Source organism: Homo sapiens, chromosome 12 (assembly GCF_000001405.40).
Source record: "Homo sapiens chromosome 12, GRCh38.p14 Primary Assembly".
NCBI lineage: Eukaryota > Metazoa > Chordata > Mammalia > Primates > Hominidae > Homo > Homo sapiens.
The window spans coordinates 10,066,841-10,083,863 of record NC_000012.12 but is presented as its reverse complement, the minus strand read 5'-3'; the positions used below and the strand labels follow the sequence as shown (position 1 = coordinate 10,083,863).

Below are 17,023 nucleotides of genomic sequence, written 5' to 3'. Positions count from 1 at the left end.
CAGAAGTTGTGATTGTTTTTTCTTTACGATATTTATTTCTCTGGATAATTTTTTAAATCCATATCCTATATTGTTTTTTAAAATTTGTTTAGGCCGGACATGGTGGCTCATGCCTGTAACCCCAGCACTTTGGGAGGCTGAGGAGGGCAGATCTCCTGAGGTCAGGAGTTTAAGACCAGCCTGGCCAACATGGTGAAACCCCATCTCTACAAAAAATATAAAAATTAGAGAGACATGGTGGTGGGCACCTGTAATCCCAGCCACTTGAGAGGCTGAGGCAGGAGAATCACTTGAACCTGGGAGGTAGATCCAGGTTGCAGTGAGCCAAGATCACACTACTGCGTTCCAGCCTGGGCAACAGAGTGAGATTCTGTCTCAAAAAGAAAGAAAGAAAACCATAAATAAGTTTCTTAAGTTGGTTTTCACTTTTCTCTGGTATCTCCTTGAGTAACTTAATAATCAACCTTCTGAATTCTTTATCTGGCAATTCAAAGATTTCTTCTTGGTTTGAATCCATTGCTGGGGAGCTAGTGTTACCTTTTGGTGGTGCTATAGAATCCTGTTTTGTCATATTACCAGAATTATTTTTCTGTTTCCTTGTCATTTGGGTCTATTGGGTATTTCAGTGAAAAGATCTGGAACACACAGGCTGCTGTTCAGATTCTTTCATCCCATGGGGTGATCCCTTGATGTTGTGCTCTCCCCCTTCCCCTAGGTCTAGGGCTTCCTTAGAGCCAGACTGCAGTGATTGTTATTCTCTTCTGGGTCTAGCCACCCAGTGGTGCTACCAGGCTCCAGGCTGGTGCTGGGGAATGTCTGCAGAGTCCTGTGATATGATCCATCTTCTGGTCTCCCATCTGTGGATACCAGCACCTGCTCTGGTGAAGTTGGCAAGGAGGTGAAGCAGACTGTGTGAGAGTCCTTGGTTGTAGATATGTTTAGTGTGCTGTTTAGTGTGCTGGCTTCCTTGAATGCTGGTTATGCTAGCAGTGAAGTTGTCAGATGGATGCACTCAGGACCTCTGGTTAGCCAGGATGTTGCAGGCAGTGGAATTAGCTGTTGTCTTCTCCCTCCTTGGAGCAGGGTTATTCTGTCTTGAGTTACTCTAATGGTTTGAGTTGTTGGCCTCCAGCCAGGAGGTGGTGCTTTAAAGAGAGCACCAGCTGCAGTAGTAGACACGGGATGTAAGCTTGTTCTAAGTTTGCCAGGATGAGTATTCAGGTTTCTCAGGTGATGGGTGGGGCCATACAGCTCCCAAGTTTATGTCTTTTGTGTTTGGGTACCAGGGTGCATAGAGAAAAAACATCACATGGGATCAGGGTTAGGCAGGTCTGAGCTCCCACTCTCCTTGGACGGGGCTTGTCATGAATCCTGTGGGGGATGGGGGTTGGTTCTCAGGATTTTATGGCTGCCTCTGCTGTGTCATACAGGTCACCAGGGAAGTGGGAGAAAGCTGGCAGTGATAGGCCTTACCCAGCTCCCACATAGCTGGTGATGCAAGTCTTGCTCCCCCCATGCCCCACCAACACCACGAAGTTTATATCCTGGCAGCTCATGCCTGGGGCTCTGAACTTGCCTCAGGCTACAACCCTTCCCACTGAGAAAGCAAGCAGGCTTTCAGGCCACGCCGCTCCCCACCTTCCCACACCATCTGTCACAGTTCCTGTGCTGATATCTGTAGCAGTTCCTCTTTGCCCCCTGGATTCTGCTTAAGAAAATTCATATCCAGTTGAAATTATTACAAAATTCATTTGGAAGCTTCTTTCATCCTGTGTCTCCTCTTTAATTCCACTGGCTGCCTTGTCCAAGGACCCCTGTGAGACAAAGTCAGGGATGGCTTCCCTGGGCTTGAGCTGGAGAATGGGAGTGCCTACAGGACTCTTTCCTCTGCTTCTTCTACTTTTATATTTTGCATCTATTTTATATTTGGCTCCCTACATCCATTTCTGCTCCAGGTGAGGTTAAATCCTTCTCATGTAACCCAGATTTTCAGGTTCCCCATTAGGGATGTGTGTTCAGAGGTGGGTTTTCCCCACTTCACACATTTTTGGCTGTCTTCCAGAATTTTCAGTATTGAGTTGCTTCTTTCAAAGGATCTGTGCATTCTTTCAATTTTCCTGGTATGTTCCTGAGGTGGTTCCTGGAGGAAAAGTTCACAGTGTGAGTCTCCTCACCCTGTTCTGTTGTCCAAATGGGAGCTCTATCTTAGCCCTCTTAGCCGTCATTTTCTCCTCATGACTTCACATTTTTAGACAGACTTAAAGAAATTAATTTGCCCAAGGTGATACAACTTCTCATATATGTACTAGAGTCCAAACTTGAATATAGGCAATATGAGAACTCAGAGCCTGAGATACTAAAAAATATACTGTTTTGTCTTCCCCATAAGCAGAAAATGGAAATAAAACATAGAAATAAGCTGTCCAGTCTGACTTGGTCATTTGGGTTAGTTTTTCAGTACTACCAGCTCTCCAATACTGGTCAAGACACCATTTCTCAAATGGAAGAAAGATTAGGAAATACGTCCCAAGAGTTGCAATCTCTTCAAGTCCAGAATATAAAGCTTGCAGGAAGTCTGCAGCATGTGGCTGAAAAACTCTGTCGTGAGCTGTATAACAAAGCTGGAGGTAAGTGTGTCCTGGTCACTCTGTCCCCATGTTGTCTGGAAACAGAGAGATGGATTTCCCGCCGGTGAAAGTGAGAGTCAAGTATTATTTAACTAGAGGTCTGGCAAACTGAAAAAGGGTTTGGGCTTCAAGATCATGATCAGTTGTTGGGATCATGTGATTCATATGTGTCTGTGATACCATGCATCAAGGGACTCTTCAAATGCAGACATTTTAAAACAATAAAAACAATTAACTAAGAATAACCAAAATAAGACTACGAGTAAAGAAAATACAGGGGTATGTCTCAATTTACCTCGGCAAATGTTCTTACAAATTCTTTCCTAGTAAGAAGTAAGCAAACTCATAACTATAGTTCTCAAATCTTAAACAACATACAGGGACTAGTCTGAAAATGCAGATAACCTGAATCAAATTCAAGTTATTTTAATTCAGGATAACTTGGCTGGGTATCAAAAATATGCAGTTTAATAAGGACCACAGATGATGACAGTGCCAATGGTAGGTGAACCACCGTTGATAAAATTACTGCTGGAGAAGTCTAGGAGCATCGCTTCAGTGTGAGTGCATGTGTATTCCTATTCTCCTATTCTTTTCAGGTTTTGTGATAATCCACTTTATTCAGGTCAGCTCTCTCTTCTGCTCTCTTTATCATGCTTACTTAGGAAATGGCATACATGTTCAGGTTTCCACTTTTTATTTCTTTTTTAGGAACTCTGAAGGAGGGCAAAGTCTCCTCATCTACTATACACACACCACTTCCCACCTGAAACAGACATCCTGATTGCATGGCTATGCAGGAGAAAATATTAATAGGCACAGTTTTACTTCTCTAAGTGATTCTTTCCTACATAACTAATGACCTCAATGGTCATAATGTCCTTATTTACTAATTTTTCTTTTTCCTTTTTTTGGGGGTGGGGGGAGATGGAGTCTCACTCTGTTGCCTAGGCTGGAAGGCAGTGACACGATCTCGGCTTGCTGCAACTTCCTCCTCCCAGGTTTAAGCAATTCTCCTGCCTCAGCCTCCTGAGTAGCTGGGACTACAGGTGTGCACCACTGCACCCAGCTAATTTTTTCTTGTATTTTTAGTAGAGATGGGTTTTCACTGTGTTGGGCAGGCTGGTCTTGAACTCCCAACCTCAGGTGTTCCCCCTGCCCCAGCCTCCCAAAGTGCTAGGATTATAAGCGTAAACTACCGTGCCCAGCATTTATTTACAAATTTTTCTAACAAAGCCCAGTGTGCATACTTTCCTTTGTTGGTTGCCATATCTTCAAAAAGATAATCCACTACTTGACAGGCTGAGGCTAGAAGATTGAGCTGAGGAGATCAAGACCAGCCCAGGCAATATAGTAAGATACTATCTCAAAAATTATTTTTATTTTTATTTTTACTTTTATTTTTAATTTTTTTTTTTAAGACAGAGTCTCGCTCTGTCACCTAGACTGGAGTGCAGTGGCATGATCTCGGCTCCCTGCGGTCTCCATCTCCTGGGTTCAAGTGATTCTCGTATCTCCTCTTGGGTAGCTGGGATTACAGGCATGCACCACCACATCTGGCTAATTTTTGTATATTTTAAGTAGAGACGGGGTTTTTCCATGTTGCCCAGGCTGGTCTTGAACTCTGGCCTCAAGTGATCTGCCCGCCTCAGCCTCCCAACTGCTGGGATTACAGGCATGAGCCATTGCACCTGGCTAAAAAAAATTTTTTTTTAAGGTAACCGAGATTTTCCTAACACAAATGGTCTTTCAAATTTTTATTTAGGTATATAAAAACAAACAAAAAGAGAAGCTATGCAAATAAGTTACATTTAATTTAAATATAAAATCTAAATGCAAATATATTAATGCTGCTTCTCATAAAAAATTCTTACATATTTTTGGTTAGATGTCAGTTCTCAGTTTTAATCTGCTACTTTTTATTTCTTACCCTCATCTTACCCATTATCCATCCATCCATCCACCCACTGAAGTGATATTTATGCATTTAGTTCGTACTGCTACCAGTGTGGTTGGAGTATTTACTGAATGCCTACTGATGCATATCTGACAAAACACACAGGATGTCTACTCTCATGGACCACTTACTCTAGTGGGGTAGTAGAAGTAAGTATATTGAAAAACATAAGATGACTAATGTCTTTGTCTGTTTGTGTTGCTATAAAGGAGTACCTGAGCCTGGGTAATTTATACAGAAAAGAGTTTTATTTGGTTAATGATTCTGCAGGCTATACAAGAAACATGGTGCCAGCATCTGCTTCTTCTGAGAGCCTCAGGCAGCTTCCACACATGGGGGAAAGTGCAGCAGGTAATATGACAAGAGTCCAGGAGGCAAGAGATTGGGGAGAGACATGCCAGGCTCTTTTTAACACTCAGTTCTCCTGGGACTCATAGAGCGAGAACTCACCAAGCTGTTCATAAGGGATCTGCTTCCCTGACCGAGACACTTCCCATTAGGCCCCACCTCCAGCACTGAGGATCAAATTCCAATATGAGATTTGGAGGGGACAAATGTTCAAACTATATCAACCAGCATTTCCAAGTTGGCCCCCAACGTTCCTTATTTTAGTACTAAAAGTCCCACATTCTGGGAAACTCTAGGTCCCAGGTATACAGTAATGATCGGCCAACCTAAATACAATGTATGAGAGATTAATCAATCCTATGAGAAATGAAGGTAAACAAGGCAAGAGGGATAAGGAATTCCAGGGTAGTCTGTTGCTACTTTAAATAGAGCTGTCGTAAATCCTGAATTAAGATGATTATATGGTAGCAAAGACTTGAAAAGTTGAGGGAGTTAGCCATGTAATATAGAGAAATAATAAGCTTTAAGTTAAAACAGGAAACAAAAGAGCCTTAAAACATGAATGTATCTGCATATTCCAGGAATAATGAGGAGCTCATGCGGTTGGAGTGGAAGACTAACAGGAGGCTAGGTAGAGATAATGTACAGCATTAGGTGCCTTTGTGAGAGATTTGGCTACTATTTTGAGCAGATGAGGATTAATTATGGGGTTTTAAGCAGAGGAAATACATGATCTGGCATAAGTTTTTAAAGGCTTAATCTACATTCTGTTAAAATTAGACTGGAAGAGGAAAGAATAGCAACAGAGAAATCAGATAAGAGATGGCTGTTACTAAAATCTAGGAGAAATATGATGGTTCTTCTAACTAGGATATTGTTTGTGGAAATGATGGCATGATGGGATATAAATTGATGTGTGAGAAATGAAAGATTCAAAAACAGCTCCAGAATTTGGGGTCAAAACAACTAGAAGCATAGAGATGTGGTCGAGTGAAAGGAAGAAGAATTCTCTGGCTACAAGGGGAAGATTAGAAACCAGGAATGCTGTTTGGGGAGTTAGATATATGAGGGAAAATTCTGGGCCAGACACATACACAGACTTACATTCCTTTTGCCCAAAACACAGCAAAAATAAAGGAGAAATGGAGAGAGAAAGGACTATAAGAAAAAAAAAGACGATTAGCCTTTTCTTTGGATGACATATTTTCATGTATTTATGAAATGGAATGCCCGTCCTGGGGTTATTGGCCTTGCTAATATGAACATTATTGTTTATTGATCCTAAATATCTATAAACATTTATTGCACTATATAATATAAAAATGGTAATTTATAGGTAAAGAGAGTTCATAGAAAGTGTACATGTTCCGTTTAGAAATTAGTATTTTATTTTTCCTAGGTGTATATGCCATGGACAAAACATTTGAGAACAGTTCATTTTCAGTCCACCCGTTTTTCCGGCCAAAAATATGCATTTTTCTCCTTTAAAAATATATATTTTTGGGGGGAGCAGAGAGGTGGGGAAAACAGGGTCTCACTCTGTTGTCTAGGCTGGAATGGAGGGTATATGTATCTGTATATCTATCTATATCTATGTCTGTACCTATATCTATATGTATATAGAGAGAAATGAATTTCTTCTAATCTGTATTCTATTTTCCTCCTCCAATGGTTTAAGTAATAGTATATCAAATATTAGGTAGTTGAAGTTAAGAAAGTAAAGAAGTTTCTCTATCTCTGTCTCTTTAGTTACATAGTATCACTACCTATTTCACATAAGGCTCTCAGTCCTTTAGTCTCTCACCTTTTGATCTAATTGTCCCTTGCTTCCTCCTAAACATTCATTGAAAATTTCTCTATTAATTCCCCTACAAGTAGGAGACTTGTTTTTACATAGAGCACATAGAGGGTCACTTATCATATCTGAAGACTGAAGGTATTTAAGAAAACATTGTATGTGAGACTGGAATGAGGTATTAATACACTGTACCAAAATTGCAGTTACATAGTTTTTATTTATTGAATCCAGAGCAGAATGAACCAAGATTCTCCTTGCTGAGTCCAGTTGCTGCTTCATAATCTTTTTCAGCACAGCACTCCAAGCATATATCACCCATCTAAGTTCTCACAACAACAGGGACCATAGTTGAAACGGACCTTTATTAAATGCTTTTTATGCATAAGTCTCTGCACAAACTGGACTCTGTTTTTTACGTATTTACTCTTTACAATAATCCTTTTAGGTAAGCATCATTCCCATTCTTGTTCTGTGTTTTAGAACGTCTGAGGCTCCCTGCATTTTTGCTTGAGTCTCTCCAGGTTGTTACATTTCTCCTGGTAGAATTCTGAAGCAAGCCGACCTGTCTGAGAGAGTGCAAAAGCTATTGAGCTCCACAGCAAGTTTTTCATAACATGACAAAGATATCCTTCTAAGTTATTTATTTATTTATTTATATTTTGTTTTACTTCATGAAATATTTCAAATTTACAAGAAGATATAAACAATAATATAACACCTACCTGTGTATTAGCCACTGAGATTTTAACATGTTAACTAGATCGCTTTTAAAATAAAGAAATTGTTATAGATATGACTTGGGTTCTCATCCCACTACAGACCCACAAGAGACTGGATTAGGTTCCTAACTCTAAATGACCCAAGGTCATGTATCCACATAGGGTTAAAACTATAGCTCTCAGGGCTTGGCACCTATATTTGCGATCACTACCCATACTTCTCTGGCCTGGATGCCCAATTTAATTTGTGACACATGGAGATTCAGCATTCTAACTTCAGGCTTGCCTCAGTATTTTTTTCCTTAAAAAGACTCCACATCATATTGGTATATACCGTATTTTTTAAAACTTATTTTACTATTATGTAAGATAATTTTGAGGAGAACATTATAGAAACTTTATTTCCTAAACACAATGCAGTTGGAGTTTCTGTACATTTGAGATGCTTTGTGAAATTGAATATTCTCTTCATGTGCTGAATTTCATAGGCAAGTGGCAAGAAAGTTCTAATCATTTATTACTAGATTCCACATAAGCAATTAGTGTCTGTTTTAATTTCTACAACATACTTAGGACCAGTTATAATTCCTGGCAGTTAGTAGGTATCCAGTAAACATTGTAGTTATCATTGCCTGGGTAATTAATTAAATATTGAGGAAGAGTTAATTCTTTCTTAGGACATCAAATACTATATAATTTCAAGAGAGGAGCAAGACAGACTCATGCAGAAAATAACAATAAAATTGGCTTTTTTCCAAGCACACAGGTGCAGCCCTTGTACAGAACAATGGAAATGGCATGGAGACAATTGCTACCAGTTCTATAAAGACAGCAAAAGTTGGGAGGACTGTAAATATTTCTGCCTTAGTGAAAACTCTACCATGCTGAAGATAAACAAACAAGAAGACCTGGTAAGATTCTGAGGCTTTTCAATGTTTGAAGGATTTCAAAAAGAGGCCTTAAAAGCATTAGGCAAGAAGACTCTAAGGATCAAGAATATCGGTCCACAGGTTTTCGAACCTGTTTCGATCAGGGCCTGAGTCTTATTCCTATTGCTTTGAACGGTCCCCTGAAGTAGATAGAAGGAGTTGTGTTCTCCACAAATACACACACCTTAGGAAGATGAGCAATATCACTTTAAAATCCCCTCTCAGGGAACAAAGTTAGAATGTCTTAACTTCTTTCCTGTTTTGATTTGGGTAGAAAAGGAATAATATTGATGCAATGTCAGAAACATGAAAATAGGGCTGCCTGCTCTTCCATTCTAAAAGTGGCAAAGCTTTTAAGTGGAAAATATTTAACTAAGTTTTTACCATAATCTGCAAATGTATATCTTGCTTTCCAGAAGTTTACAGCCTAGGATAGACTGGTCAAGGCAAATGTGACAATAAAACTACAAATTGACATATATTGAGTTAGTACACGCAATTAAAGTACATCATTAAAATATGATTATTCCCCTTTCTCTCATATTTATTACTGCCTTTGAATTGAAGTTCTCAAATAGTATGGCCGTTGTTTATTTATCAGTTTCTCTAGAATTTAGCAGAGATTTTTCTTGATGAAGAGTAGGTTATCAACAAAGGGTTATTTAATTGAATTAAATGCTCAGCTCACTACACAAATTCTTAACATCATTCTAATTACTTCTTAATTTCTACCTACCTCCTGAAATCTGTGATGAAAGAACCTCTGTAATTTTTCTCGGCTACTAATATTTTATAACCCTTTCTCGATGGCTTAATTTAGGCAGAAAGCGAGGCAATTTCTTTGACTAAGACAGTGTGCCCTAGCATAAACCCTCCTAATTTTTCTTATTCTCTTTGATTCCTCTGCCTCCAGCATACACTGCAAACTCAGGTATAAAACTGAACTATATTATATCACGTGGTAGGAAATTGTCTTGTTGAACCTATGTAGTTATTTTCTATCATGAACTTCATATATTTGTATATATTTAAATCTTTTTCATATGATTTGCTTTCAAAATTTTTAATTTGAAGGCACCCGCCCATTTAATTGGAATAAATATTTTCAACTACAGTTATTTTCACCTGTTCACTCTACGACTATTGCTTGGTAATAGCTTCATTTACATTTTCAATAATCTCTCATTAAATCAGTATATTTTATTAATTATCTGAGGGGTTTTGGATGTAACAATGAAACAAAGTGTACGGCCTTGAGAAACTCATTATTTAAATGGATAATTATAATAAATATTTAGATAATTTCTATGTTAAAATATTAGGAGTGCACTGAGCCTGGGGAGGTTGAGGCTGCAGTGAGCTATGATCGTGCCACTGCACTCCAGCCTGGGCAACAGAGTGAGACCCTGTCGCCACCAATCCTCCAAAAATATCTATTAGGAGTGCAGAGTGAGACTAGATAGAAGTAAGTAAACAACTTTTAAAATGTAAACATATGTTAAATATGGATATTGGGAAAAGGATTACCATGTATAGGACTATACACATGTGTGCACATAAATATTTATAGATAGAAATTTAAAAATTTCTTTCTTCTCTTCCTAGTCTAAGACATAAATCATCCTTGCAAATTTTTCTTTTACTTTTTTTCTTCCTTTCCCAGGTATTTATAACGGTTACTACCTCATTCCTGCACTTTTCCCTCCATATTCTTCCATGTCCCAGAATCATTCTGCATCTCTTTGTTAGTCTTTCCCTCATATTTTTATGTCAACATTAATGTTTAATTCTGTGCCTTAAAAGCCATGGGTCAGGAACAAATCTTGGTTGATGTGATTTCCGCTTTCAGAATATCGACATGTGTTCCATATTTACTAAGACAAAATAAGTTATTAAACCTGGACAAATTTCTGACTGGCCTCAGCATAGATGCTTTTTCTCTTAAGCATATGAGCATCAATGTGAAGCAGGACTTGTGTGTGCTTTGAGAAAAGTGCTGGCTGGCCCATGCATGTCTGTACATGTGAGTAATCATGCCACCAAAGCTAAAGCTTTTCTTATGTGCTTTTCACAGGAATTTGCCGCGTCTCAGAGCTACTCTGAGTTTTTCTACTCTTATTGGACAGGGCTTTTGCGCCCTGACAGTGGCAAGGCCTGGCTGTGGATGGATGGAACCCCTTTCACTTCTGAACTGTAAGCCTTCAGGATATTTTATGGGAAAGGCATTTAACAAAGATATTTTGCTTGAGTGATAGAGCTCAAGAATTTGGTCCATCAAGTATTAATCAAACTTCTGCTTTGTACTGGATACTGTGTTTGCAGGAGGATGCCTGAAGATATTTGAACAATAGTGCATCCTCATTTTGTTTGTGTGTGTGTGTGTGTTTGTTCGTTTGATTGTTTTTTGAGATAGGGTCTTGTTCTGTTGCATGGGCTGGAGTGCAGTGGTGCAAGCTCTGCTCACTGAAACCTCTGCCTCCCAGGCTCAAGCTCTCCTCTCACCTCAGCCTTCTGAGTAGCTCGGACTACAGGCGTGCACCACTACATGCAGCTAATTTTTTGTCTTTTTTGGAAAGACAGGATTATGATGTGTTGCCCAGTCTTGTTTAGAACTCCTGGACTCAAGTGATTTGCCCATCTTGGCCTCCCAAAGTGCTGAGATTACAAGCATGAGCCACCGCACCCGGCCAGTGCCTGCTTTTGAACTGCTTATAAGCCAGTGAGGGAGACAGATACATAGCATTAGTAAAATATCAGGGTAGTTCTCTTGCTGCTTTCAGAAGTTTGTGTCTGGGACATACTGCAGATGAGAGAAGGGAGAGACAGAGAGAGAGAGAGAGAGAGAGAGAGATCTTTCCCTGAGTGAGTAAATTGAAGCCCAGGAGTCCAGGCTGTAATGGTGGTTGCCTAAAGTCACACAACTTGTCAGTACCCAGAGATAGCATAAGAGTTCTTGGCTTTCTGTGCAGCAAAATAGGGAGCACATCTTTTAAAAAACACAATCTCTGAGAAAAGATTTGCTGAAAATGTAAGGGGTAATATAAAACACTAGTCGTACATATGCTGTGAGCATTTAGACAGGAGTACATATGGTATCTGTGTTAGTCCATTTTTGCATCAGCATAAATGAATGCCTGAGGTTGGATAGCTTATAAAGAAAGGAGGTTTAATTGGCTCACAATCCTGCAGGCTGTACAAGCATCTGCTTGGCTTCTGAGGAGGCTTCAGGGAGCTTTACTCATGGCAGAAGGCGAAGCAAGAGCTGGCATGTCCAATGGCAAGAGAGAACACAAAAGAGAAGGGGCTGGGGGGAGGTTCCAGGCCCTTTTAAGCCACCAGATCTTGCATCAACTAACTGAGTGAGAACTCACTCATCACCAAGAAGAGGGCACCAAGCCATTCATGAGGGATCCACCCCGATGACCCGAACACCTCCCACCAGGCCCCATCTCCAACACTGGGGATAACATTTCAACTAAGATTTGGAAAGAACACACATCCAAACCACATCAGTATCCTTTGAAAGAGGAAATTGTAATTTCTCTATCAAAATATATCACATTTAAAGCCATATTTGAACAGACACCATTCTTCCCTATATACAATATATCATTATTCTCCCAGGAGACAGGATATATTTGATGTAATCATTTGTATTTTACAGTTAAGTAAACTGAGTTACAGAGAAGGTAGAGAACTTTTTAAGTGGCAGAAACACTATATAAATTTGGAGGAGAACACGTAGCTTCGCTTTAGTTAGAAATGGTTTTTGCTGTTTGGGGTGACCTGCTGTTTCTAAGAATGAGTATGGAAACTTAGGGGCTGAAGAGAAAGAGGCACATGACCCCAGTTTCCCGGTAAACTTATTCTGGTATCTAGACTATAATTTTATAACTCTAGAAAGAATGGGTATTTAATATTTTATTTTAGAAATAAACCGTGATTGAATTTACTTTTTCTTCCTTTCTTAAGGTTCCATATTATAATAGATGTCACCAGCCCAAGAAGCAGAGACTGTGTGGCCATCCTTAATGGGATGATCTTCTCAAAGGACTGCAAAGAATTGAAGCGTTGTGTCTGTGAGAGAAGGGCAGGAATGGTGAAGCCAGAGAGCCTCCATGTCCCCCCTGAAACATTAGGCGAAGGTGACTGATTCGCCCTCTGCAACTACAAATAGCAGAGTGAGCCAGGCGGTGCCAAAGCAAGGGCTAGTTGAGACATTGGGAAATGGAACATAATCAGGAAAGACTATCTCTCTGACTAGTACAAAATGGGTTCTCGTGTTTCCTGTTCAGGATCACCAGCATTTCTGAGCTTGGGTTTATGCACGTATTTAACAGTCACAAGAAGTCTTATTTACATGCCACCAACCAACCTCAGAAACCCATAATGTCATCTGCCTTCTTGGCTTAGAGATAACTTTTAGCTCTCTTTCTTCTCAATGTCTAATATCACCTCCCTGTTTTCATGTCTTCCTTACACTTGGTGGAATAAGAAACTTTTTGAAGTAGAGGAAATACATTGAGGTAACATCCTTTTCTCTGACAGTCAAGTAGTCCATCAGAAATTGGCAGTCACTTCCCAGATTGTACCAGCAAATACACAAGGAATTCTTTTTGTTTGTTTCAGTTCATACTAGTCCCTTCCCAATCCATCAGTAAAGACCCCATCTGCCTTGTCCATGCCGTTTCCCAACAGGGATGTCACTTGATATGAGAATCTCAAATCTCAATGCCTTATAAGCATTCCTTCCTGTGTCCATTAAGACTCTGATAATTGTCTCCCCTCCATAGGAATTTCTCCCAGGAAAGAAATATATCCCCATCTCCGTTTCATATCAGAACTACCGTCCCCGATATTCCCTTCAGAGAGATTAAAGACCAGAAAAAAGTGAGCCTCTTCATCTGCACCTGTAATAGTTTCAGTTCCTATTTTCTTCCATTGACCCATATTTATACCTTTCAGGTACTGAAGATTTAATAATAATAAATGTAAATACTGTGAAGTGTGTGTGATTTTACAATGGACTTATGGTTGGTGGGAAAATTCAGCATGGAAATGCTTTTCAAAATATGATAGCGGTCATTATTTTGATTGTGCCTTACTGAAAGTTTTTGGGGAATTTACAAGAGTACTGATTACATGATTATCTGGAGAAAATAAGATGTCTTTGAAATACGTGTTGGCTTCAAGAAAACAGTTTTAACGTTTTCCTAAAATGAAATCTTTTGAGGTGAGCTTATGGCATCAACACATGGTTGATGAGGAAGCTGAGTTGCATTAGTGCACATGATTTCCAGTCAGGTCATGGGAAATGAACAGAGACAGTGACATCTTTGTAGCTGCTCCTTTGTGAGGCACTTCTTTCTTGAGACGACTCCATGCACAAATATAACAGGGATCATTGGGAATGACACCATCACAGCCACCAAGTTTATTGGTTTACTGATAAATCAATTTTGAGGGTTTTATGCTAGAAAAGATAACATTATAAATCTTTGTTTTTCAACAGTGGAAACTGAGGTGCTTCAGTTTTGTTTTTCATAAACATCTATCTCATGGTAAAATGACGTATAGTAGCAATCATATGATAGAAAGAACACATTGGTGCTCATTTTCATAAACTTCATTTTGTTAGATTGTCACTTAGCAAAGACTATTGCGGATTCTTCCTTGAGAACTTTCCTTTCAATTTTCTGTTGATTTCCTTAAAATTTTCTTCAGGGTCGAGCAAGTTCTGTTGATATATTGTGTCATGCAAAGAAAACTGTATTTGTGGTTAGAAAATGAAGATTTTAGACCTCTTATTCTGATTTACTTATTAGGCAAGTCACTTTACTTCATGAAACCTATTTCACTGCATATGAAGTAGAAATAATTATAATTTCCTCATAATGTTACTGTTAGCTGAAATAAAGTAAATGTGAAATCAGTTTCATAATGTGAACTGCAATAAAAAATGTAAGGGAAGTCAAGAAAATATTTTTAAAAGGATCTAGTGATTTATTTTTAAATATAGGGGCGCACATACACATGCATAAGCAATGTTAAAAAGAAAAAAACTTCAGCTCAATTAAATTTAAAAGAGTTTAATTGAGCAATGACTCATTCACAAATCAGGCAGCCTCCAGAGCCAGAGTAGACTCAGAGGCTCCAGTGCAGCCATGTGGTGGAAGAAGATTTATGGACAGAAAAAGGAAAACGTAGTAAAGAAAACGGAAGTGAGGTACAGAAAAAGCTGGATTGCTTACAGCTCGGAGTTTGCCTTATTTGAACACAATTCAAACAGTTGGCTACATTTGATTGGCCAAAGCACAGTGATTGGCACAAGTATAGACTAGGGTCTGTTTACCCCTCAACTTGTTATAGTTGACATTATGTACAGAGAATCCTTTAAGCTAAACTTAAAATACGTAAAAAGGCAGCGTTAGGCTAAACTTGATTTATTAATAACAACAAACTTCTTTGGAAATCTGTATTTATGAACAAATTGTAGAAGGGCACCTACTTTGGGGAGCTAAGGATTTTATTACCAAATATTTTTGATGATGAGTGCAGATTTTCGATGAAAGTAGTTCATATAATAGGTACATAACAAGAAATGAGAAGTAAGCCTGCAGTTAAGCAATTGTTATGTAAGCCTTGTTGCTACAGAAAGAAAATATGACTGATAGGAGGAAGTCAAATGATTTTGTGGACTAAGCTGTAAAACAGAGACATGCACTCATTTAAGTTTTGACTCCTAGCATCCTATGTGGCTGCAGTCTAGCTCAGGGATGGATGACAAGCCACTCTTTAAGTGCCATTGATGTGAAGGGTCTAGCTGCCTAGAGTGAGTTTTGAATGGTATGTCATTCCAAGTCTGGGACTAAGGGATAGTGTCACTTTAGATTGTGAGGAGGAAAAAATAGCATACATTTGACATACTTCAGCTCCTTCCCTGAGTTTATTCTTCATGTTTCCCCTTAATCCCTTTGTCTTTATAGCAAAACTCACAATATTGATCACAATGTGAACAAACATTTCAAAACAACAGAAAAAAGTGTATAGCATAGCATTCTCACTACACACTTTAGAAAAATGATATTAAGAATAGGACATAATGATAAAGTGAATTTTAAAATCTGATTTGCTAAGAACAATATCCAGTTGAGAATCAGAGAGGGGCACTGTATGAACTGGTTTTTCTGGATGAGGAGACTTTTTTCTTTCTAGGTTCTTGTTTATGTAATTCTGAAGAAATTGCAGGAACAGTCAAACGAGGAGCCCAGCCTTTCCTGGTAGAGCTGAGATCTCCGGTACACAATAAGCTCTTTCTTTTCCTGAGGATATTGAACCAGCTTTCAGGATTTATCAACAGGAAACAGGTCATGAGCCCTGTAACAGCAGGAAGTGTGAGAAGAGTAACGGGGAGCTTTTATTTTGAGGATACAAACACATTATGAACAAGGAGAAAAGTCTAGTAGGTTAGCAGGTTGTCTCTGGGCCAGCTTTAATATTTGGGAGTCAACTCCTCTGTAGAGAGATTCTTACAGTATTTGAAGATTACAAACAAATCAGGATCCTCTGATTTAAAGTCTGCGTGACTTTTGTACACGCTTCATTATATGAATAGATTTTTAGGCTCGAATAGTATCTACTATTATTCTACCAATATTATTATGTATACTTTTTATACATTTAATGTACTTTAACCAAACATGTAAAAAAACTCTTCACATTTGCAGGATAGTTTTATTTTTAGTTTTCTTTTCGTTTGTTTAAGACTAACTTAGAACTCAATGAAAGAGATCTAAGATGCCCAATTCATTGTTGGTGGGACTAGGATATAAGACTGGCATACTCAGTGTTGTATCTGAAAAGCCTTGGTATCCTGGACCAAAAGCAACCTGCAGAGAAGAATCACCCAACTATAGCATCTGTGTGGAAAGTAGCATCGCTGCTGAGGAGATTTGTAGGAGCTGAAGTCAGCTGCGCTGTAGATAAATTCTAATTTGAAAATACTGCATCATACACTACGGGATGACATCAGCTGAAGGATGTTTGCCTTTTGCTTTATTGTACTTCTTAAAGAATGATTATAAGTGCTTCGTATCCTTCCTCTAAACATAGTTCCATGACAATACTTTGAAGAATCTTTAAGGCAAACAGTCTTTGCTAGTAAATTCCACTATTGTTTCTCCTTTATTCCAGGTTATTACATTCAGCTGCCAGCTGTCAGCTGTAAAAATCAAACACAGGAGACAATATATGCTGTGTTTTCTCTGCTATTCTCCTTTTTCAGGTTCTGCAGAAAATTAGAGAAAAATCTCTTTTACTTAAACTCCCACATTTAAACTCTAGGTCAAGGGTAAATAAACAAAAACATGCTCTTCTCATCCTTACACAACCTTACCCATTGTAAAAGGACATTTAGGTAAGAGGATATTTAGTTTCATTTAAATGATTTCCAGTGACTCAGAGAATTAGGTTTTTTTTTTACTTTATATATTTAAGTGATGCCTTTATGCTTAGGAAGAAAAGATGATAATCTAATGAATCTCAGCTCCTCTTTATGAGAAATGAAGAATTAAATAAAATTATACTGAATTAAGCAAATATTTATTGAGAACCTACTATGTGGTACGGCGTTCTTGCAGGGACGT

At 38.7% G+C, this 17,023-nt stretch overlaps 1 protein-coding gene across 6 annotated transcripts in view; it reads left to right on the top strand.

The window, feature by feature from the left end:
* CLEC1A (C-type lectin domain family 1 member A) overlaps nt 1-14,310 on the top strand; it is a 29,432-nt gene extending 15,122 nt beyond the window's left edge. For 4 of the 6 annotated variants that reach the window (NM_001297748.2, NM_016511.4, NM_001297751.2 and 1 more), the window contains 4 exons: nt 2,451-2,627; nt 8,209-8,360; nt 10,453-10,571; nt 12,351-14,310. In NM_001297748.2, the coding sequence (NP_001284677.1) occupies nt 2,451-2,627; nt 8,209-8,360; nt 10,453-10,571; nt 12,351-12,531 (629 nt within the window). In that variant the 3' untranslated portion in view covers nt 12,532-14,310. Of the gene's footprint in view, nt 1-2,450; nt 2,628-4,854; nt 4,936-8,208; nt 8,361-10,452; nt 10,572-12,350 lie in introns of all 6 variants that reach the window. The other 2 variants (XM_011520687.3, NM_001297749.2) reach the window with 2 other exon arrangements.
* Nucleotides 14,311-17,023: the final 2,713 nt, after the last annotated feature.